We start from the raw sequence: 26082 nt of genomic DNA on the forward strand, positions 1-26082 counted from the left end.
CCTCCATGTACTTACTTGGGCCTTTGTAAGACATAGGTTAAAAGGAATGTTCGCAGAGACTCGATGCTACCTTTTTCCAAGAGAATCCACTCTCGGACAACTGCTTCCATTATGGCTGTGGCAGCTTGAAAGAGGACATAGTCCACTTTACTAGTTTCTGAGGAGAAAATTAAAAACTTTATTTAAACAATAATTCATTTTACCTTGCACATTTTGCATTTATTAATTTTAAAACAGAACTTTTCAGACAAGGAATAAGATGGTTACCTGTTCTTTTTTTTATCCAGTGACCTTGCTCTAGCACCACAAAGAGGTTAGTTCCTCTCAGAAGACACCTCAGGCAGGTGGCAGCTAATCACCGATCACAATTTTCACAAACTTTCCTCACCTCTCTTCAACTGTTACTTCCAAAGCATGAAGAACTAAAAAATAACACAGCTTTAAAAAAAATAAAAATAAAAATATAAAGCAATCAGAAAATTTCCTAAGATTCTCACCCTGTGCAAAACAGAACTTTGTATCTGAAAAACATTTTAATAAACTAGTCATTGAACATTACTACCTGTGATGAGCCATGCTGTTAAAATATTTCATTTTTAAGTATTAAGCTTTCAGCAGGATGACCCATCTCCAATAGCAAGTTCAGAAATAAAAACAATCATGTTTAGGTTTTCTTTCTCAAAATATAAAAAACAATATAAGTCACATTTACACAAGGTGAGAAGTGCTTGTGAATTTTCTGATTGCAGTACTGATCAAACTGAGTAAAATCCCAAAGCTACACTTAGAAAGACCCAGCCTTAGCTAGCAAGTTATAGTATCTGATCTAAAATCTAAATCAGGGGAGAAAAAATAGAAAATTAACACACTTTAAAAATGTTTTATATTAATTTTCTATTTTTTCCTTTATTCACCAATACCACTACAATCAGTTTCCCAAACAGCATTATCAACAGGGAGAAACAGTTGAAATGAAGTCAAGAAAAAGCAGAAATTTTCTGAGGCTCTAAAAAATAACCATCATGTGAAATCCATGAAAAGCTCATGATTAGACTCCAGATTATTTGCCAAGATCACTGGACATGCATATCTGAAAGCCATGAGAAATTATCTCTAGGCATAGACTGGCACCTTCAAGAATATATCAGAAGAGCATGAAGATATATACAGTCAAGCACACCATTTTCTCTCCTATTCAAGCTCAGGTCATTTAAAAATCTTACAAGTGTTCTTGACACATTTAGCTATAAAAATGTATGAGAAAAGGTGTACCCTATATAAATTCCTATCGTATTAGACTACTACACAGGAGTTTTGATCATACCAAAACCACTAAGAGAAACCAATTTGAACCTTTTTTTAAAGTTTTGATTATTCTATGCTATCTTAACATGAACTCTAATTGAGATGATAATCAGAATTGATACAAATTTAGAAACTTTAAAATATAATAAATAATTAAAATAAAGGAATAGCTTCTAAAAATGTGAACCTATTAGAAAAGATGTGTTTAAAACTCTAGGAGTTAAAAAAAAAGGGGGACCCAGTTCCATCTATTTAGATCACTTAAAGAGAAATATGGTACTGTCTCATAAAGGTAATTCAAATAATCTCTCATTATAAACCTCTTCTTAAAGAAAATGATGTTTGTTTGCCTATCTTCATTTTCTACTGCAATAGTAAAAATTTTAAGGACAAGAAACCGGAAATCCTTAACCATGGATTTCAACAATGAAGCAAAATCTAAGGTACTCTAAGAATTTTAGTTATAGAACTCTGAAGACCATCTAAATCAATTCCTCCATTTTACAGGAGCTGAAGGATGCCCCAAGAGATAGAGAGGAAACTGAGGTCACATGGCTGGTAAATGTTCCTTGAGCAATACTAATCTACCCTGAAACACACATGCCACTGAAGATAGAGCGAATAAGCACTTTCATTGTTAATGATCACTGAAACATTCCTAACTATTTGTTTTTACATCCAAGCCTTTTTCTGCCCTTTGGAGGTGGGTGGGTGTTGGATGTGAGGGGGCAGTTATAGAAGATGAATATTCAAAATTTTCAAGACACAAAAGTTTCTTAATTCTTTTTCTTAGACCTCTGCATGGTATTAAATGATGATCTCTAAATGACTACTCCCATAAGAAGCTGACTCTAAGAATGGAGGAATAAAAAAAAAAAAAGCCAAATTCCTAATTTAAAAGAAGAAATTTTCCTAAACTAATAAATTACCCTTTCTCATAAAAACCATTATTAGCTGTCATAAATTTAACTTATACATAGTAGAAATATGCAAGAGATGCTAGAAGGTACTCTCGAAGCCTACCAGTATGAAATTAGAACTTCACAAATACATATGAGCTTTACTTTCGCTCTCTGTTACAAAGATGCCTGAAACTACAGGGTTTTCATGAAGAACTCACAATTCATCTAGCATTTTTTTTTTTTTTTTGAGATGGAGTTTTGCTCTTGTTACTGAGACTAGAATGCAATGGCGCAATCTCGGCTCACCACAACCTCTGCCTCCCGGGTTCAAGTGATTCTCCTGCCTCAGCCTCCCGAGTAGCTGGGAATACAGGCATGTGCCACCACACCGGCTAATTTTGTATTTTTAGTAGAGACAGGGTTTTTCCATGTTGGTCAGGTTGGTCTCAAACTCCCAACCTCAAGTGATCCACCCACCTCAGCCTCCCAAAGTGCTGGGATTACAGGTGTGAGCCACCACACCCAGCCTCATCTAGAATTTCTAAACTACTTCTGGGAAGATCTGCCACTGACTAGGACACTGTCCAGAGAATAAATTATTTTAGGTCACTTTAGCAAAATGCTTTCATCTGCTACCACAGTAACTTTCTTTAATAATAATTATGTAAATAAAATTCATTTGAATTTTGTCAGCCATCTGAAACTAAACAGAAACATGAAGACAAAAGTTAAAGTTAATAATACAGGAAAAGCACTACATTCTGACCAAAAAGTTTTTTTAAAAAAGAAAAAACCCCGGTAGTGAAGCCACAGATATACAGCTACTACAATCAACTCTCTGGCCTTAAGTATTTCTGTCCAAAGCACAGGCAATATAAGCTCCAAGTCTACTCTTTGACTCAGTGATACCTATGCCCACCAACTAATGACAAAAAGTCTCAGATGGAAGATGATTTATTAATTCCCAGTGACTGACAGCACTACTAAGGAAACAATTTTCCAGAGGTGTAAAAGTTTACTAGTTTAACTGACTTTTTGGTGGTTTATTATTTTGTTTTGTTTTGGCACTTGTGAGATCAGAAGTGAAAGAAATCCATTTCTCCCTGAGAAAGAGTAAAAGAATGCCACAAAGTTAGCTCCAGAAGAAGTAAGCCAATCCCTCACAGTTCTTGATTATTTCTTTAACAAGAACAGAACTCACTTGTTTTTTTAAAGGAACATTTGATCCTAAAAAATTTAAATTACTAAGTGCCAAAGACTTCTGAAGTGAAGAAGTCTAAAAGTGCTCTTCTGACAAAATGCACAAGCATGCCACATGCATGCACAGATACACCACACACACACACAGAAAAGAGCAAAGAAAATAAAAACTAGAATGAAAACAAAAGGATAAGAAGAGAAAGAAATGAGGAAAAATGAGCAACATATAAAACTCAAGTTAGAAGTGAGAAGGAAGAATTTTAAGAGGCCAGAAAAGGGAAGCATCAAAGAAAGTCTCCCCTTTAGTAGAATATATTACCCAGACCTTCTATAAAAATGACACATAATCCCTAAACAAGAATGTGAAAATTCTGAACTGCGATTGACTGCCACTTGTATGAGAAGTCTTCTTAGAGGAATTTACCCTTCTGTGCTGGTGGCAACTGAATAAGGAGTGAAAAGATTTTCTGTGAAGTTTAGATGTAAACATTAATGTAACACAGGGCTTTGCAGTACATTAATGATTATGCTTGTAATACATGCACTCCACCTTTTAAATAGTCAGTGTCTCAAAACCCAAACTCATTTTAAAAGCATGGCCAGAACTAGCAATACTACTCTTTAGAAAATTTTATCAGGAAAACAAAAGTATTCCAAAACAAGCTCAATCATAACAAAGCAACAATACTTCATAAAATATACATATTCTAAAAAGGAAAGAATGGTATAAACAAATACACTCTAATAAAATACTTGTAAGTTAGATCAACTATTTCCCAACTAGTGTACAATGACACTGAATTCCAATAGAAAGTCAGATGAAACACTGATGGAATCCTAGTCAATGTCGTTAAGGCATATGCCATGAAAACCAGACTCAAATTATTTTAGGTTAATAGTTTAACACAACGGTTTTCTAAATCTATTAATGCTGAACAATTTCAAGGCAGTAAGGATGAATTAATGCTTCCTTAAACTCTTTATGCCGTTTAGTTTTGCTTCCTTTAACATTGAGTTAAATATCCTCCACAGGTATATGTTAAATCTTCTTAGTGCCAGAAACGAATCCACACAACTATAAAAGCTGACCACTGAAATAAGTAAATTAATTAAAATGGCTTCAGTGAGAATTTAAAAGGTAGTTGTTGAACCTGTTCCTCTGCTAAGACCTAACTCCTAAATGAGACAGAGCCACCTTCACCACTGCTGCTAGTTCCTTGCAAACACAGAACACAGCATTTTTAAAGCCGATTACATTTTTTAAAAGCTGTTTAAAATCAAGTATATGGCCATGACATTTACCTCACTGTTCACAAAGTGCTTTTACATAATGAAAAGTAATTACATTTTCACCTCACGAAACAATTTAAGATAGCAAATCCATTAAGGCAAATGGTATCGTTATTGCCATAAGGCAGATGAAAAAGAGGCCCAGGGAGGTGAACTGACTTCCTCAAGGTGCACCAGTGGCACCTAGATGTCATAGTTGCTACATCAGCACTCTTTCCACTACAATCGAACAACTCTCTTCCATAAGTCCTTATATGTAAAGCACCTTTAACACATAACTTTAATTGTAGTTTATTTCAATCTGGAAACCAGCCTATTGGTAGCTATAGATAAGCCTTACTAAAAGCACAAGAATAAAAGTCAGATGTTCTAGTTCCTAATACTCAACTAACCAATTTTATGGTCACAGATGACTCAAGTAGCCTACTAGAGCCTTACAAAAGATGGCTCCCACTAAAAAAATCAGCCAGCAGTAATCAGCTTATAAAATAACAATAACCAATGAAGTCTCTCTTACTATTATTGAAAAATATCTAAGGGACAGATGGCACATCATATATAACTCTTAGAAAATGCCATCTTTGGATAAGAGTTATATTTCTTGTGATTCTTTTAGAAGAAATCTTTTCTGTACATGTCAGACATAAGATACTCATAAAACATATTTGACAAAAGTAAAAATCAGTGCTTTATTTTAGGATACATACAGTGATACCCTACGCAGAAATGACTGATATTCATTAAGCAAGCTGAGTACAAACTAAATGGTTAAAAAAAAAAAAAACTATGGAAAACAACTAAAAGAAAATGTAGAAATCTCCAAAAACAATCTCAATTTTAAAACTAAGACTGGGCTAAAAGATACTATAGTACATACCCTGTAATAAATGACATTTGAAAACTGAAAAAATACTAAATTTTTCTCTTTACTATTAACAGCCTTCATGTTATGGTCAATAATAAAACAAATTATGAACACTATATCTAGGGGGGAAAAATCCAAAGTAAAAACAAAGTTTCCCGTCTGGCTTTACAGAATATCTTTAAAGCTACTCCAGTAGAATGATTATTAATTTAAATAATTGTAACTACACAAACCAGGTTTTTAAAAAGGAATTTAAAATAGCTAATGTTTAAGACAGCAAACCCAGATCTGATTATGCCAAAATATTTTATATTTTTTAAGTGAATACTTACCCAAAATATGCTTGCAAACTGCAAATGGTGATTTTGATTTCCTAAATGATAAGAATATGTGCTCTGCATGCTGGCGTTGTTCATTATTGACCATGGAAGGTGGTGCCTTGAGAGTTAAAGACAAGAACAGATACACTTATCTAATGACAAAGCTTAAATAATATCAATATTTTTACCCACAAGAACAGAAAATGCCTTCACTTTTGGGGGGCAAGAGGAACAAATTCTTGCTTAACTTTTTAAGGAATTATAGTATAAAACTTGATAATAAATGTTTAAAACATGGTTTCAGAAAAAAGGAAAAAATTCCTGGCAAGGTTTGGGTCAGAATCCTTTAAAGGTTTTTAAAAAACCTGCATTTTAGAAAAACAGATACTTATCTAACATTTTTTGGGGGATTTAACAATTAGTTGACTTATTATCACCTTTTATTCCAAAATATACCACTTGGACTAACTTGACCTAGTTCAAATAACTTCAAAATTCTTCAATACTGGGGATATTGAATCCAAGTTACTAAAAATCAGTTTCCAAAAGCAATCCTTTAAGACACAGGATCAAATATTATTTCACCTCAAGTTTTCTAAAATCACTATCAAACCAGAAAAATTTGGGAACAGTTAAAGTTTGGAATTTATGAAATGTATTTCTGAATAATAAATTAATCACTCAAAAAAATCTAGACTTCTCTCTTAACAAAAACAATTTCTAAAGTCTGACCAAGTTTTTAAATACCATTTTGGTGTTAACAATCGTTCTTCTAAAGATAATAATCTTCTGAGCCAGATCTACCTAAAACGTACATTCCTGTTACATGGTTTAGTTAACTTTTAACCTATTAAGACTTACAAATACTTAATTTGGGAAAGGGGGCTGGAGGTAGATGGCAGGAAAATAAACCTTTATTATTCAAACCATTGAATAAAGAGGGCAACTCATAATTTCAATTATATTAAATAATCTAGATGATGAAAAATGTTACAATCAATTATATTAGATCAACACTCATTATAAATTATATCAATTATGCAACATTAGTCACTAATTTCAGTCAAAATAATAAAAAAAAAAGTTATTCACCCAGGAAAAATTAACTACTGTGAATCTCTGGCTTCAGAGAATTCTTATAATTAGCTAAAGCCAGTTCAGACTACTATTCCTAATCATATAGCACCCTCTACAGTTCTCTAAATAAAAATGAAAATATTTCCATTAAAGAACTGTGTTGGCTGGTCCCAGTCGCTCATGCCTGTAATCCTAGCACTTTGGGAGGCCAAGGCGGGAGGATAATTTGAGATCAGGAATTTGAGACCAGCCAGGCAACATGGTGAAACCCAGTCTCTACTAAAAATATGAAAATATTAGCCGGGTGTGGTGGTGCACACCTCCCAGCTACTCAGAGGCAGAAGCATGAGAATCGCTTGAACCCGGGAGGCAGAGGTTGCAGTGAGCTGATATGGCGCCACTGCACTCTAGCCTGGGTGAAGGAGTCTCAAAAAAAAAAAAAAAAAAGAATTGTGTTAAATTCTTTAACACTTCTTTAAAAAGAATTTTGAGTGTGGTGGCTCACACCTGTAATTCCAGCACTTTGGAAGGCCGAAGAGTACAGGTCACCTGGGGTCAGGAGTTCGAGACCAGCCTGGCCAACATGGTGAAACCCCCGTCTCTACTAAAAATACAAAAAAATTAGCCAGGCATGGTGGTGCACACCTGTAAATCCCAGCTACTTAGGAGGGTGAAGCACGAGAATCACTTGAACCCAGGCAGCAGAGGTTGCAGTGAGCTGAGATCCCGCTGCTGCACACCAGCCTGGACAACAAAGCCAGACTCCATCTCAATTAAAAAAAAAAAAATTTACTAATAAAACTGTGAGGGCTGGGTGCGGTGGCTCATGCCCGTAATCCCAACACTTTGGGAGATCAAGGCGGGTAGATCACCTGCCTGGCCAACATGGTGAAACCCCATCTCTACTAAAAATACAAAAATGAGTCGGGCTCAGTGGCAGGAGCCTGTAATCCCAGCTACTAGGGAGGCTGAGGCAAGAAAATCGCTTGAACGCAGGAGGCAGAGGTTGCAGTGAGTCAAGATCGCGCCACTGCACTAGAGCCTAGGTGACAGAGTAAGACTCTGCCTCAAAAAAAAAAAAAACTGAACAGCAAACTATATTCTAGAAGTATTTTTGTCTTTCCATTTTCAAATTATTTTGTTTGCTTTTTGTGTTTTTTGTCTGTTTTGGAGACAGCCTCACTCTGTTGCCCAGACTGGAGTACAGTAGCATGATCACAGCTCACTGCAGCCTCAACCTCCAGGGCTCAAGTAATCCTCCTGCCTCAGTCTCCTCAGTAGCTGGGACTACAGGCATGCGCCAAGCCCAGCTAATTTTTGTATTTTTTGTAGAGATGGGGTCTCACTATGCTGCCCAGGCTGGCCTCCAACTCCTGTACCTCAGTGATCTGCCTGCCTTGGCCTCCCAAAGTGCTAGGATTATGAGTGTAAGCCATCGTGCCCGGCCAATTTTCAAATTTTTTTATTCCCACCACCTTTTCTAGTTCAACAAGATGAGTTTGTGGGGTTTTTGTTTTATTGCTTTGTTTTGTTTTCCTGAGACGGAATCTCACTCTGTTGCCCATGCTGGAATGCAGGGGCATGATCTCAGCTCACTGCAACCTCCGCCTCGGCCTCCCAAAGTGCTGGGATCACAGGCATGAGCCACCGTGCCCAGTCTTTTTTGTTTTGTTTTTTAAAACAGAGTGTCACTCTGTCGTCCAGGCTGGAGTGCAGTGGCATGATCATAGTTCACTGTAACCTCAAACTCTTGGGCTCAAGGGATCCTCCCGCCTTTGCCTCTTCCGTAACTGGGACTACAGGGGCATGCCACCACACAGGGCTAATTTTAAAATTTTTGTAGAGGGTAGACACCATGGCTCATGCCTGTAATCCCAGCACTCTGGATTACAAAATCCCAAAGTCTGCTGACATTACTGACTCTCTGTATGGCATAGAGTAAACGATACTACCCATGTTATACTGCTACAAATACGAATCTATGAGTTCCTCAAGCAATTTCTGGATCATACATTCTTTCTTATCATCCTTGAAAAGCACAACATATCCATAATTGTGCAAATTAATATGCTAGTTATTCTACAAACAAAAATTGTCTAAAGTTAATCCAAAAGACATCCTCATATCCACATATACTTAATCTACTAGAAAGAACAGGTCTGAATATATTAATATAATGAAGATGATATTCTATTTATGTCAGATTTTAGAAATAGTAAAGTATAATCTAAAAGTTGATTTATATTAACCACCTGGTTAAATATTATCATACAAACAATAAAATTATCAAGTCAATATATTAAATGGCAGGATGGTAGTCACTTTAGTTTTTCTACAACCAGAATTTTAAATTCCTTCTTGAAATCTACTTGGCAATGGTTTCCAAATGGCAAGCTATCTGCACCAGACAGTCCGGGAAACCTTTTAAAACTGGCAAATAGATTTCCAACCCCAAAAGATTCAACAGGCTGGGAGTCAAAACCAAAAATACACATTTTTCCCTCAAAGTTCCCCAAGTGGTACTGACCCATAAAACTCCCCACTGTCAAACTCCTTACCCTTCAACAATCTTAAGTTACCCTTCAAAAATCTGCTTCCGTCTCTGCTTCCTTCATCAACCTTCACTCACCTTTCCCCAGTTGTCCAAGCACAACTAACATCTCTATTTCATCTCACATAACACGTTGCTTGTCCATCTCTATTACCCAACTTAGCATAATGGACTACAAACCTTTATTTGCTGCCCCCTACCCTTCCTTTTATTATTTCTCTGACACCAGTGACTTTATTTCTCTCTAAATTCCTAGGGCCTACCACATACAAAAGAGAGAGGCATTTAATAGCAACTAACATTTATTGAGCATTTAGGATACGAGGCATTATTTTAGATAGATACATACACAAGAAAGAAAGAAGAAAGACAGGAAGGAGGAGGGAAGTTGGAAGGTAATCTCACTAATCCTAACAACTCTATGGGAGGAAATATTATTATCCTCATTTTACAGATGAGGAAACTGAGGTATGTAAAGAATAAGTAATTTGCCCAACGTCACACTATCAGTAAGAAGCAGAGCTGAAAATTAAACCCAGGTAGTATGACTCCAGGGTCTTAACTCTTAACAGAAACTACACTTACATAGCTCAAATTTATGTAAGACTCATCATTCTTAAGGCTGTCTGGTAGAAAAGAAAAAAATCTTCCCTAAAAGTTTTCCTCCAGGACCCAATACAGACATTAAAGTGTTCTGCATAGCCTGTGAAGCTTCAGTAAACAAAGAGTAATAAAGGGGCTTTTTGAATTCCCTGTTTACGTTCTCATCATTGCCACTACAGTAAAAGCTTAAAAAGGCTTCACACTTCAGAGATGGAATCCCATAAATCAGAAGGATTGGAAGCAATAGGAGGTGGTAGTAGAGACCCGTGACCATTCCAAGGATCTTCAAAAAAAAAAAAAAACAAGGATGGGAAAAAACTGAGATTTGTTTCCAGAGTTGGAGCTCACAAATTCCTAACTCAATAGACTGGGGTTTCTAGCCCCAACCCTCAGCATGACCCTCCAAGCCCAGCTCAGTTGCCTTCAGTTCACAAAATCTGGAGAACACGATCACTGTTCTAGGGGCATCCAAAATTAGAACTCTAAAGATTACTTACTAATGAATAGATTAACTGACATATTTCAAGGAGAGACAGAGAGACACCAAAATATCTAAATGGTTTCTATTCAAAGAGTATTTTTCAGGGCTGACTATATGCCAAGCACCATGCCAGAAACTAGGGATACTAAAGGAAGGGAAAAAGCCCTGTCCTTATGGAATTCTATTAGGAAACACAGGCACTAAACAGTCACATAAATAATTCATGAGTCTATAATTTCTGCCTGCACTGACTCATTTTGGCTTCTTCCTCTATCGTGTTACTAATCCTTTCCTCAAAACAGTCAGGAATCCCAATTGTCAAATCCTACAAATCCCACAGCACCTTTCTTTTTTTGAGACAGAGTCACTCTGTTACCCAGGCTGGAGTGCAGTGGCACAATCTCGGTTCACTGCAACCTCCGCCTCCCAGGTTCAAGCAATTCTCATGCCTCAGCTCGTCTAGTAGCTGGGACTACAGGCACGCACCACCATGCCCAGCTAATTTTCTACAGGACCTTTAGATTCTTCTTTTCCCTGGGCAGCAATAATTGTAAAATTGTAACTTTTTTACTACTATTAACAACAACATCTACTACTTATTTGCCAGGCAGAAGGCTAAATACTTTACATGCATTATCTCATTTAATCCCCAAAACATCTCTGTAGGAATTATTTCCCCTCTTTTACATCTGGAGAAAACAGGATTCAGAAATTGTTGCATGCCCAAGATGACAAAGTTAGTAAGTATCATAACCAGAATTTGACCTTAGGTCTGCATGACATTAAAGCCCATGCTTTGAACCTCCTTAAGTATTACTGCTGGCGACACACAGTTGGGTAGACTAACATCTCTCAGATACCTAGTAGAGAAATCTGAATAATATTCTTGGCTTACTATACATATCATTTATAGGACCATTAAAAAACACGAAAATGTGAGAATATTAAAGTCAAACTGAAAATCTGGCATTACTGGTAGATATGAAATAAGCTACAAAACTAGAAAAGAACACATGTTCAACTCATATCATAGAGCTCATTTAAGGATTTCTTAGGTTTAATTTCTTGTTTATCTTTGACAGAGACAGACGGTGCTATGATTCAAATCTGTTCGCCAAAACCCATGTTAAAATTTAATTGCCATTGTAACAGTATTGGGAGATGGGGCCACGATTAGGTGATTAGGTCATGAGGGTTTGGCCCTTATTAATAGACTAATGCCAACTAACTCAAGAGTGGGGTCCTGATAAAAGGTTAAATTAGGCCCTATTTCTCTTTCTCTCTCTCTTTCTTGCTCATGGCTCACTTGTCCTTCTGCAACAGGATAACACGGCTAGAAGGCCCTCATCAGATGCCGGCACCATGCTCTTGGACTTCCCAGCTCCAGAACCATGAACCAAATCAACTTCTGTTCTTGGCTGGGTGCGGTGGCTCACGCCTGTAATCCTAGCACTTTGGGAGGCCGAGGCGGGTGATCACCTGAGGTCAGGAGTTCGAGACCAGCCTGACCAACATGGTGAAATCCCATCTCTACTAAAAATACAAAAATTAGCCGGGCATGATGGCAGGTGCCTATAATCCCAGCTACTCAGGAGGCTGAGGCAGGAGAATTGCTTGAAACCCAGGAGGTGGAGGTAGCAGTGAGCCAAGATCGCAGCACAGCACTCCAGCCTGGGGGACAAAGTGAGACTCCGTCTCAAAAAAAAAATTCTGTTCTTTATAAATTACCCAGTTTGTAGTATTCTGTTATTGCAGCAGAAAATTGACTAAGACAGATGGTTTAATAGTCTAATTAGAAAACGATAGATGTACCAACCAAAAACATAAATACTGGTAGTCTTTGACTCATTCACTAAAAATTTTAAGTTAGTGATAAAAATTTGCTCAACTTTCAGTTTTCCCTCCATAATCTTTCCTTACTTTTTGGAGGTTACCAGTGATCCTATCTAAATTTAAATCCATTAACACAAAATGAAACATTTTGTTAAATTAAATTTGCCATAACAATATTTCATAATATTCCACAAAGAGTACTATAAATTTCAGGTTTTGGGCCTTTCTAGCAAAACAAATTTGAGAGTCACTGCCCTAATCCCTGTCTCCCTAGCAAAGCTACCCTTTCAAATTTGAAAGATGTCCTTTCAAAAAGAGTCTTCTAGTATAAGCTCCTTTACATATCTTCCGTTTTAAAGTCTCTTTTCCTCCCAATGTTCTTCCTCTATCACCTTCTCCAATTTCTTGCAAAATATTCCCTCCTCCATAACTGCCTCTTAAATCTATGTCCTCCTCTCTCACATAAAGCCTCGGTTCCTTCTTTGTCTTTCCTTTCCTTCTTATCTTAAAAGTTGTCCTTAGCAGTGGTCCCTTCTGTTTACAAACAGGCCTGCCCTATCTCAAAAACCCCTTTACACAATCTCAGGGCTACAGAACCAGAAAGACCTGGTTTCTAATCCCATTTCTGTAGCACACTAGTTGGGAAACCTGCAAAATGCTGCTAATGAATTCATCTCATAATTGATAGGAGAACTGCACTAGCATACAGGTCTCCCAAAATTAATCTATAACAAGTAATACGATTCCAATTAAAATCCCAATAGGGTTTATATGACAAGATAATCCTAACTCATGTAAGGGTAAAGGCACAAAAGGGTCAAATTAATTTAAAAAAAAGAGGCTAGGCGAGGTGGCTCACGCCTGTAATCCCAGCACTTTGGGAGGCCGAGGCAGGTGGATCACCTGAGATCAGGAGTTTGAGACCAGCCTGACCAACATAGTGAAACCCCATCTCTACTAAATACAAAAAAAAAAAAAAAAAAAAAATAGCTGGGTGGTGGCACATGCCTGTAAACCCAGCTACTTGGGAGGCTGAGACAGGAGAATCACTTGAATCCGGAAGGCAGAGGTTGCAGTGAGCCAAGATTGCGCCATTGCACTCTAGCCTGGACAATGAAAGCAAAACTCCATCTCGGAAAAAAAAAAAAAAAAAAAAGAATAAGAAGGGGGTAATACCCAACTAAATCTAAACACGTATGAAGACATAATAGTAATTTTGAAAAACGGTATTAGAGCAGAAAAAACAATGGAATGGGGAAAATTCCCAGCAACAAACCTATGACATATGACAAATCAATGAGAAAAAAAATAGACTGTATAGTCTGTTTAAATAGTGCTGGAACAACTGGCAATTTCTAAGGAAAAACATAAAAGTAGACAGTTACTCATATTGTACATAATAATAAATTCCAGGTGAACTTAAGATTTAAAAATGAAAAGCAAAACTTTAATAGGAAGAAAACATAGGAAAGTATGATGTCAAAGTAGGGAAGAATTTCTTAATAAAAAGCAAAAATTCTTTTTAAAAATTAGTAAATTGAACTATATTAAAATCATAACCTCCTAAATTTAAAGGCACCATTAAGTAAAGTGAAAGACTAGTCACAGATGAGAATGTGTCCAGAACTTATTCTTTCTGGTGGGTTCCTGGTCCTCAGGGTGAGTGTTCCAGCTCTTAAAGGTGGTGCGAACCCAAAGAGTGAGCAGCAGCAAGATATATTGTGAAGAAAGAAAGAACAAAACTTCCACATCGTGTAAGGGGACCCAAGCAGGTTGCCGCTGCTGGCTGGGGTGGCCAGCTTTTATTCCCTTATTTGTCCATGCCCACATCCTGCTGATTGGTCCATTTTACAGAGTGCTGATTGGTGCATATATAATCCTTTAGCTAGACACAGAGTGCTGATTGGTGCGTTTTTACAGAGTGCTGATTGGTGCATTTACAATCCTTTAGCTAGACACAGAAAAGATCCCCAAGTGCCCCCACTCGACCCAGGAAGTCCAGCTGGCTTCCCCTCTCAAGAAGGCAATAATTGCACTGGACATAATTAACAAAGGATTAATATCCAGAACATAACAACATTCACAAAAGTAAGTAAAAGACAATTTATAGCAGAAACTGACAACTATGCCTTCACTCTTCTCTCCTTCCTTAGTAACAAGACCCTAATTTTATTTGCTCAGCAGCAATGCACCCACCCACCTAAAATGACATTTCCTGGACCCATTTCTAGCTAGGAGGATCTATGGGATTAAGTCTGGCCAATAAGATATTAGCAAAGTTTCAGGTGGGATTCCCTAAAGGGAGATGACTCAGCTAGAAACACTCTTCTTTCCTGTTCCCCAGAAGTAGACATGATAGCTGTAGTTCTACTAATCATCTGGGACCATGAGAAGACTTAAAAGATTGAAGATATCCTCTAAGAATAGTAAAACAGAAAAACAGAAGAATTGTAAGCCCCTGATGACATCCTACAGCCACTAAACCATTCATATACATATATATCTATCTATCTCCATACTTTTTATGTGAGAAAAACTAAACCTATCTTTTTAAAAAACACTGTAATTTTAGTTTTTTGTTACATGCTGCCAAACCTAATCCAAACAAATATGCAACAGAAATGTTGCCAATGAACAATAGGCTAGACAATCCAGAGTAGAAAGTAAAAATGGATATTAAACATGACAACACACTCAACCTCACTAGTAACACATGGAAATGCAAATTAAAACAAGGAACTATCATTTCTGACTCATTGGCTAGATAAAAATTAAGTGCAAAAACAAGTGTTTGGGGATGGGCATGGTGGCTCATGCCAGCACTTTGGGAGGCCAAGGCAGGTAGATGGCTTGAGGTCAGGAGCTCAAGACCAGCCTGGGTAACATGGCAAATCTCTGTCTCTACTAAAAATACAAAAATTAGCCAGTCGTGGTAGCACGCACCTGCAGTCCCAGCTACTCAAGAAGCTAAGTTGGGAGAATCACTTGAAGCCAAGATTGCATCATGGCACTCCAGCCTGGGTGACAGAGCCAGATGCCACCTCAAAAAAAAACTAACAAGTGTTTGGGGAAGTTTGGGGTATCATTATAAACTGCTAATGGTAATATAAAATGGAACAATCACTTAGAATTGAGACTTATCTAGAAAAAGTTGATAGTCCCAACCAGCAAGGTATGCACAAGTCCACTTCTACCACCTTCTAGACATTTATTCCCCAGAGAACTTCTCCCCTTTCCCACATACATACAAAGGCCACAAAGATGTTCCTACAACATTATAATAGAAAAAAAAAGAAGAAGTAACAATTTAAATTTCCACCAACAGAGAATACATTGCAGTATAGTCATACATTGGTTTATAAAGCCAGTAAAAATTGAACTACAGCTATATTTACCAACCTAGATAAACCCTGAAAATTATTCTGAATGAAAATGGCAAATGACAAGACATGTACAATACACCATTTATATAAAATTTTTAAAACTCAATAGTATGTTATTTACATTTGCGGGAAGAGTATAAAAGCACGGAAGGAAGGATAAGCAACTGTGAAGCCATGATGGCCTCTGTGGAAAATGAGGTCGACGAGGCAGGGAACAGTGTCTACAGGACTCAAAGGGGGCTTCAATTATATCTGTGATATCTTAATATTTTTAAAAGATTGTAGGCAAAACATCTATATGAACATTTGCTAATCTAGGAGGTAGGCATATGAATGTAATTTATATTACTGTATGCATTTTTCTGTCCATTTAAAACCTTGCATTTCTTTAAATAAGTGGGCCTTCTATTCTCGATAGTACAGCTGACCTTAAACAACTCTTCTGCTAAAACAAGACAAAAATGGTGGACAAAATTTCTTAAAAATTTTAAGTGCATCACTGAGCTTACAAGAAATTAAGGAATCATCAAAAGCTAAAACAGAAGCGAACGCAGGGATCCAAAGATGAATGCAAGCACTCATGTGTTTACCCTGGAGACATGTGCCAACCTCTAGTGACCCTGAACTTCCATTTTGACAGCTGCCTAGCATAAAGAAGACAGGAGATTAAAGCCAGGGCCCATCTCAGGTAGGGATCTAACAAGATATCCCTCCACATAAAGCTGGGATCCTCAGCGCAAGGGTAAACTATTTAAAAAACAAACAAAACAAACCGGAAGGAGGGGGACCAGGGAAGAGAAAAAGAAGGGAGAAGGGAGGGAAGGATTAACTTGCCGGTCTGGACCTTAACAATAGATGGAAGAGCGTAAATTACTTCAGACAATGAATACCCACAAGCAGGCCTATGACAGGTCTCTTGCCCATCACAACAGGACCCATGTTGTCCAAAAAACTTGAAGCCAATAAAATTAAAGTAGTCCTGTGTTGTCTATGTACCTAGGCACTTGGAGGAATCCAGGCTTCAGAGTTTTTCATAAACATTTCCAAGAGTTAACATATAAATTTCACTAAACACACGAGGAAATAAGCCACTACAAGTTTACAGAACAATAAATTAAAGAATCAGACAAACGAAACTCACAAATATTGGAAATGTTAGAAACAGAATATAAAATATTTAAAAGAACCAAAAATGTAAAAAGGAGACTTCACCAAAATTAAAAACTTCTGTACATCAAATGACATTATCAAAAGAATGAAAAGGCAATCCACAGAATGGGAGAAAATACTATAAATCATTTACTTATCTGATAGAAGATTAATATCTGTAATCTATAAAGAACTCCTACAACTCAATGACAAAAAACCAAATAACCTGATTAAAAAATACAAAAAGGACGTTAACAGACATTTCTCCAAAGAAGATACATAAATAGCCAAGAAGCACATGAAAAGATGTCCAACATACCAAATCATTAGGAAAATACAAATCAAAACTGCAAGACATCACCTCACATCCATGAGAACAGACATATTAGAAAATAACAAGTGTTGATGAGGATGTGGAGAAACTGGAACCTTTGTACACTGCTGGTGGAAATGTAGAAATGGTACAGCCAAACAAAAAAAGGAACAGCCACAGACGGGCGCGGTGGCTCATGCCTGTAATCCCAGCACTTTGGGAGGCAAAGGCAGGTGGATCACGAGGTCAGGAGTTCAAGACCAGCCTGGCCAAGATGGTGAAACCCCGTCTCTACTAAAAATACAAAAATTAGCCGGGCGTGGTGGCACATGCCTGTAATCCCAGCTACTCGGGAAGCTGAGGCAGGAGAATTGCTTGAACCCAGTAGGTAGTGGTTGCGGTGAGCCTAGATCGCGCCATTGCACTCCAGCCTGGGCGACAAGAGCGAGACTCCGTCTCAAAAAAAAAAGAAAAGAAAAAAAAAGGAACAGCCACTAGGGAAGATAGTATGGCAGTTCCTCAAAAAATCAAAGATAAAACTATCATATAAGCCGGTAATTCTACTTCCAGCTATATATCCAAAAGAACTGAAAGCAATGCTTTAATAGACTGTACCAATGTTCACTAAAGAATGAATGGATAAACAAAACATTGTATATTCACACAATGGAATATTCTTCAGAAATAAAAAGGAATGAAGCGGTAGGGGGCAGTGGCTCACACCTGAAATCCCAGCACTTTGGGAGGCTGAGGTGGGTGGATTGCTTGAGTTCCGGGGTTCCAGACCAGCCTGGGAAACATGGTGAAACCCCATCTCTACGAACACATACAAAAGTTAGCCAGGCCTGGTGGCTTGCACCTGTAGTCCCACCTACTGGGCAGGCTGAAGTGGGAGGATCACTTGAGCCTGGGAGGTCAAGGCTGCAATAAGACATGATTGCACCACTGCACTTCAGCCTGGGTAATAGAGCAAGACCCTGCCTCCAAAAAAAAAAAAAAAGGAATGAAGTACTAAGATATATTACAACAAGGATGAACTTTGAAAACATTATGCCAAGTAAGATAACCCAGACACAAAAGGACAAATACTGTATGATCTCACTTATATAAGGTAGTTAAAATAGTCAAATTCATAGAAAGTGGAATCATGGTTACCAGGGATTAGAGGCAGGAGGAAATGGGAAGTTGCTATTTAATGGGTATATAGTTCCAGTTTGGAAAAGTTCTGGAGATAGTGATAAATTTTGGTGATAGTTACACAACAATATGAATGGCAAATTTTATGTTGAATTTTACAATAATTTTTTTTTTTTGAAACAGAGTCTCGCTCTGTCGCCCAGGCTGGAGTGCAGTGGCAAAATTTCGGCTCACTGCAAGCGCCACCTCCCGGGTTCATGCCATTCTCCTGCCTCAGCTTCCCAAGCAGCTGGGACTACAGGCACCCGCCACCATGCCCAGCTAATTTTTTTGGTATTTTTAGTAGAGACGGGGTTTCACTGTGTTAGCCAGGATGGCCTCGATCTCCTGACCTCATGATCCCCCCGCCTCAGCCTCCCAAAGTGCTGGAATTACAGGCATGAGCCACCACATCCAGCCAATAATTTTTTTTAAAAGCAAGATATCACAAGAAAACTTTTATGAGCAATATAATAAAAGAAATATAAATATCAATAGACTTACTATGTTTGGTTTGGATGGTAATTACAGGAGTACACACAATCACATATCATCATCAAACTGGACACCTAAGATTTGTGAATTTTCTTGTGTTAATATACTTCAATAAAATATACATTAAAAACTCACTAAACAGATCAAAGAACAGATTAGATACATCGGGGAAAAAATTAGGGGTTGGGCACAGTAGCTCACACCTGTAAGCCCAGCACTTTGGGAGGCTGAGGAGGGTGGATTACCTGAGGTCAGGAGTTTGAGACCAGTCTGGCCAACAGGGTGAAACCCCGTCTCTACTAAAAATACAAAAAAATTAACTGGGCATGGTAGTGTATGCCCGTAGTCCTCGCTACTTGGGAGGCTGAGACAGGAGAATCGCTTGAACCTGGAAGGTAGAGGTTGCAGTGAGCCAAGATCACACCACTGCACTCCAGCCTGGGCGACAGAGTAAGACTCGGTCTCAAAAAAAAAAAAAAAAAAGAAAGAAAGAAAAGAAAATTGGGAAAAACTGAAGACAGATATGGGAAATTATTACAAACATAGGAAGGCACAAACATGAAGCATGATAGTCCCTTCACATTACTATAAAGGAATACTTGAGACTGGGTAATTTATAAAGAAAAGAGGCTTATTTGGCTCATGTTTCTGCAAGCCATACACACGGTACCAACATCTGCTCAGCTTCTGGTGAGACCAAGAGCTTTCAATCACGGCAGAGGGCAAAGGGAGAGCCAGCATATCATATGGCAAGAAAGAAAGCAAGTGGGGGGAGGTGCCACATTCTTTTAAACCAGATCTCCGGTGAACTCAGAGGGAGGCACCATGCCATTCATGAGGGATCCACCTCATGACCCAAACACCTCCTACTAGGCCCACCTCCAACATCAGAAGTCATTTCAATATGAGATTTGGAGAGGACAAAACATCCAAACCACATCATAAAGAGTCTAGGAGAATTGGCCAGGCGCAGTGGCTCATGCTTGTAATCCTAGCCCTTTGGGAGGCCGAGGTGGGTGGGTCACCTGGGGTCAGGAGTTTGGGACCAGCCTGGCCAACATGGCAAAATCCCATCTCTACTAAAAATACAAAAATTAGCCAGGTGTGGTGGTGGGCACCTATAATCCAACTACTCCAGAGTCTGAGGCAAGAGAATCGCTTGAACCAGTAGGGCAGAGGTTGCAGTGAGCCGAGATGGAGCCACTGCACTCCAGCCTGGGCAAAAGAGCAAAACTCAGTCTCAAAAAAAAAAAAAAGGCAGGGAGTGTAAGAGAATAAAGGGACCATCCATTCTCTGCTGTACTCAGAGCCCCGAGAGGCTGACCTCTAGACACCACATGACTCAGGCTTCCTCACTCTGTCCCAGTGCTTCCTTTTTCCCACCAAAAGCCACAGCTCCCTAAGGCTGCTCTCCCCTACAACTACAGCTCTCTCCAATTCTCCACTATCCCGCCCTGCCCTTGCAGGCCCTGAGAATGGCTTTACCATCCTTTGCGGTTCCCTTACATCTTACCCCTCCCCAAGCCTCTGTCAATAGTTATCTTCGTTAACTCTCTTCAATTACACCTTTGAGTGTTTCTTGGCAGGCCTTGCCTGACACAGCATGGAGCTTCAATGGGTGAGGAGAAAGAAAGGAAAGATGTAGACTCAAAGCTAAAGAAAAGAAGCATTCCAAAATTGATGAGAAACACTAAAAATCAGAAAACCCAATGAATCCCAAACTAAATGAAAAGGAGGAAAAATCGTATTACTGATATCACAGTGAAACTGAAGAATTCAAAGAGAAGACCTTAAAAGCAGTCAAAGAAAAAAGATATTTGTAAGGCATAACAGACTAAACTGTATTTCTTAGAGCAATAAGTTAAGTCAGACAAGAGAGACCAGAATAACATTTTCAGGGTATTGAAAGAAAATAACTATTAACCTAGAAATGTCTATCTAGAAAAATGATCTTTCAGGGATTAGAGTATAATGAAAGCATGTTCCTACAAATAAAAACCAAGAGAGTTTACCACCAAAGTACTCTTCCCTAAAAAAATTCTAAAGAAAATACTTCAAGTAAAGTGAATCCAAATTAATGATCTTGAATGCAAAAGACTATGGAGTAAACGTATTGTATTGGGTTTTTTTGTTTGTTTTTGAGACAGAGTTTTGCTCTTGTTGCCCAGGATGGAGTGCAATGGCGTGATCTCCACTCACCGCAACCTCCGCCTCCTGGGTTCAAGCGATTCTCCTGCCTCAGCCTCCCGAGTAGCTGGGATTACAGGCATGCGCCACCACACACAGCTAATTTTGTATTTTAGTAGAGATGGGGTTTCTCCATGTTGGCCAGGCTGGTCTTGAACTCCCAACCTCAGGTGATCCGCATGCCTCAGCCTCCTGAAGTGCTGCGATTACAGGCATGAGCCACCACACCCGGCCAAACATATTGTTAAATACGTTCACTAAGGCCAGGTGAGGTGGCTCACACCTGTAATCCTGGCACTTTGGGAGGCGGAGGCAGGAGGATCGCTTAAGCCCAGGAGTTCAAGACTGCCCTGGGCAACAAGGCAGTCTCAAAAATTGATTTGTCTCTCAAATAAATAAATAGCTGGGCATGATGGCCTCCACCTGTAGTCTTAGCTATTCAGGAGGCTGAAGCAGGATTACTTGAGCTCAGGAGGCAAAGGGTGCAGTGAGACAAGATCACACTACTGCACTCCAGCCTGGGCAAGAGGGTGAGACCCTGTCTCTTAAAAATAAATACAATATAATCCAATCCGATCCGATCCGATCCGATCCAATCCAATCCAATCCAATCTATCACCCAGGGTATACTGCAGTAGTACAATCTCGGCTCACTGCAGCATCAACCTCCCAGGCTCAAGCAGTCCTTCCACCTCAGCCTCCGGAGTAGCTGGGACCACAGGCACATGACACCACACCTGGCTAAATTTTTTTGTATTTTTATAGAGATGGGATTTTTGCCATGTTACCCAGGCTGGTCTCAAAATCCTGGGCTCAAGTGATTCTCCTGCCTCAGCCTCCCAAAATTCTGGGATTAGAGGCATGAGCAACTGCACGTGGCCAAGTATTGTATTTTTAAAATGATTCTACCTGGGAGGTTAAGGCAGGAGGATCACTTGAGCCCAAACGTTTGAAGCTGCAGTGAACTTTAATTAAGCCACTGTGCTTCAGTCTGGGTGACACAGCAAGACCCTGTCTCTTAACACAAAAACAAGTAAAGATTAGTTTGAGAAAATGAAAAAAGACAATTAAAACTCTGGACAGCAATAGCGCATTAAGTAAAAAGAGAGGTTTTTTTGGTTTGTTTTTTTGTTTGTTTGTTTGTTTTTTGAGACGGAGTTTCCCTCTTGTTGCCCAGGCTGGAATGCAATGGTGCAATCTCGGCTCACTGCAACCTCCACCTCCCGGGTTCAAGCCTCAGCCTCCCAGGTAGCTGGGATTACAGGCATGCGCCACCACGCTGGCTAATTTTGTATTTTAGTAGAGATGGGGTTTCTCCGTATTGGTCAGGCTGGTCTCGAACTCCCAACCTCAGGTGATCCGCCTGCCTTGGCCTCCCAAAGTGCTGAGATTGCAGGTATGAGCCACCGTGCCCAGCCAGGAGAGAGGTATTTTTAAGCTAGTCTTTGTATTACTCTGGCTGGGACAGAATATACATATTATCTTTGGACTAAATTGAATATGCATGTTAAAATGTTTACTGTGGTCAATAAGATATTAAAACTAAGAACATAGTTTATGACAACAAACTATGGAATGAGAAACAAAAGATTATCAAACCCTAAAAGAAGGCAAGAAAGAAAAAAATCACATGCACACACAGTAAGATAACAAATAAGTTATAATTTATCAGTAATGACAAGAAAATGTAATAAACTAAATGCTCTACATAAAAAACTAAGATGGACAGACTGGATAAAAAAGAAAATCCAAAATTATGCTGTTTATAAGAAATGCATATAAAACTCAAGGGCATGGAAAGGTTGAAAGCACAAAGATGGAAAAAGTCCTCATGCAATGGCTCATGCCTGTAATCCCAACACTTTGGGAGGCCAAGGCAGGAAGATCACATGAGGTCAGGAGCTCAAGACCAGCCTGGTTAATGAAGCAAGCCTTTGTCTCTACAAAACAATTTTTAAAATAACAATGAAAAAATAAAATAAGTTTACAAAAGTAGAAAAAAATTCTAATCAAAATAAAGTTAATGAAATTGATGTAGCTATCAGAGAAAAACAGAATTTAGGGCAAAATATTACTAAAAGATGCTGGGCCATCTCATAATTATAAAAGGTTTAACTACAATGGCATGCAATACAATTTATACGTACAAAACAAAACAGAACTACCAACAAATACACTAGAGTGGAAGATTAACATGTAACTCTCAGTAACTGTTAGCTTAGGAGACAGAAGTATCTAATGAATTTGATTTAATAGCATAAATACATTGCACCTTTAAGTGAATATCACATTCTTTTCAAACACATACTGAACAAAAACTGACAACACACTAGACTGTAAGGCATATCCAAACAAATTTTAAATAACTGGTATGTATGTGACATATTACCTGACCAAGAGCAATTAAGTAAGAAATTGATTTAACATAACAATAACAAAAACTAGAAAAATTCAAGGATGAAAAAAAATCATAATGGAAATCAGAAAATGTATAAGCCAGGCTGGGCGCGTGGCTCACACCTGTAATCCCAGCACTTTGGGAGGCTGAGGCGGGTGGATCACTTGAGGTTGAGAGTTCAAGACCAGCCTGGCCAATATGGTAAAACCCTGTCTCTACTAAAAATATAAAAAATTAGTTGTAGTGGTGACTCATGCCTGTAATCCCAGTTACTCGGGAGGCTGAGGCAGGAGAATCCCTTGAACCCAAGATGCGGTGGGTTCAAGACTGCAGAGGTCACGCTACTGCACACCAGCCTGGGCAACAGAACAAGACTCTGTCTCAAAACAAAACAAAATAAAACTATAGTTTACAATAAACAAAAAAGCCAAAAGTTCTTTATTTGGAATAACTAATAAAATTGGAGAGGAAAAACACAAATATATAAACAAGCAAGAATTAAAAGAGAAAGCAACTACAGATGCCTTGGAAAATAAAAAGACATTAAAAGGATAGCAAACAGGGCTGGGCGTGTTAGCTCATGCCTGTAATCCCAGCACTTTGGGAGGCCAAGGCGGGCGTATCACCTGAGGTCAGGAGTTCGAGACCAGCCTGACCAAAATGGAGAAACCCTGTCTCTACTAAGAATACAAAATTAGCCAGGTGTGGTGGTGCATGCCTGTAATCCTAGCTACTCGTGAGGCTGAGGCAGAATTGCTTGAACCTGGGAGGCGGAGGTTGCAGTGAGCCAAGATTGCACCATTGCACTCCAGCCTGGGCAACAAGAGCGAAACTCCGTCTCAAAAAAAAAATAAATAAATAAAAGGATAGCAAACAAATTTATTGTGATAAATACAGCAATTCCAATCCTATACAGATTTCTTCAAGAGACTACAAAACAGGAAACACTCCTTACGCCATTTTAAGAGCCTAGCATATCATCATAAATATGCCAATAGCAAAACCAGATGAGGACAGTGGAGGAAAAGAAATTTATACATCAATCCTACTCATGAACACAGAAGAAGAAATCTTAAGATACTTCACATAAGGGAGGTGATGGATATGTTAATTAACTTGACTTAATCATTCCACGTTGTATATATATATTAAAACATTACAACATTACACTATACCCCACAAACGTATGCAATTATGTCAATTAAAAATATTAATAAAAAGATATTTCATAAACCAAATCCAACAATGGATGTTAAAAATAATAATGACGATAATAATATACACTGTGACCAAGTTAGGTATCCCAGAAATGCAAAACAGAGTTAAGATTAGAAAATAAACAAGGTTGAGCACTGTGGCTCATGCCTGTAATCCCAGCACTTTGGGAGGCTGAGGCTGGTGGATCGCTTGAAGTCAGGAGTTTGAGACCAGCCTGGCCAACATGGTGAAACCTCATCTCTACTCAAAATAAAAAAATTTCAATTAGCCTGGCGTGGTGGTGCACACCTGTAGTCCCAGCTACTTGGGAGGCAGAGGCAGGTGAATCACTCGAATTCGGGAGGTGGAGGTTGCAGTGAGCCAACATCATACCACGGCACTCCAGCCTGGGCGACAGTCAGACTCTGTCTCAAAAAAGGAAAGGAAAAGAAAAAAAAAAGAGGTCGGGCTCAGTGGCTCACGCCTATCTGTAATTCCGGCACTTTGGGAGGCTGAGACAGGTGAATCACTTGAGGTCAGGAGATCAAGACCAGTCTGGCCAACATGGCAAAACCCTGTCTCTACGAAAAATAGAAAAATTAGCCAGGCATGGTAGTGTACGCCTGTAATCCCAGCTACTCGGGAGGCTGAGGCAGGAGAATGGCTTGAACCTGGGAGGCAGAGGTTGCAGTGAGCCAAGATTGTGCCATTGCATGCCAGCCTGGGCGACAAGAGCAAAACTCCATCTCAAAAAAAAAAAAAAAAAAGACTAAAATAATAAGAAAATGAATGATGAAATGATATGGAAGAGAGAGGCAATAACTAAATAAATCAACCCTATTACATTACCCTCAATTTTTTTTACTACATTGCCCCAAGTATATGGCATGATCTTTTGAGAAGATATAAAAGAAACCTGGTGGGGGTTTTGTTTTGTTTGGGGCAGGGTCTGTTCTGTCACCTAGGCTGGATGGAGTGCAGTGTTGTAATCATACCTCACTGCAACTTTGACCTCCCAGACTCAATGGATGCTCCCACTTCAGCCTCCTGAGTAGATGAGACTACAGGTGCAGGCCTCCACACATGGATAATTTTTTATTTTTTATTTTTTGTAGAGACAGAGTTTCGCCATGTTGCCCACTCTAGTCTCAAACTCCTGGGCTCAAGTGATCTGCTTGCCTCGGCCTCTCAAAGTGCTGCGATTACAAGCATGAGCCACTGCACCCAGTCTGGTGGTCTTTTTTGAAAGGTTTCATTGAATACTGTTGAGAATTAGAAATTTTTCATTTCCCAATCATAATGACAAAGAGAAGAAAACTGACAAAAGACATTTCACATTCACAATTATGAGATAAGT

General features: G+C 38.8%; 1 protein-coding gene across 6 annotated transcripts in view; it reads right to left on the minus strand.

The window, feature by feature from the left end:
- Positions 1 to 26082, minus strand: part of XPO4 (exportin 4) — a 125446-nt gene that overhangs the window by 85373 nt on the left and 13991 nt on the right. For 3 of the 6 annotated variants that reach the window (NM_001372061.1, NM_022459.5, XM_047430541.1), the window contains exons 2-3: positions 5895 to 6000; positions 16 to 157 (exon numbers count right to left, since the gene is read on the minus strand). In NM_001372061.1, coding sequence (NP_001358990.1) covers positions 16 to 157; positions 5895 to 6000 — 248 coding nt within the window. Of the gene's footprint in view, positions 1 to 15; positions 158 to 267; positions 331 to 5894; positions 6001 to 18952; positions 19018 to 26082 lie in introns of those variants that run through there. The other 3 variants (XM_047430537.1, XM_024449394.2, XM_047430539.1) reach the window with 3 other exon arrangements.

Source organism: Homo sapiens, chromosome 13, assembly GCF_000001405.40.
Source record: "Homo sapiens chromosome 13, GRCh38.p14 Primary Assembly".
NCBI classification, from domain to species: domain Eukaryota; kingdom Metazoa; phylum Chordata; class Mammalia; order Primates; family Hominidae; genus Homo; species Homo sapiens.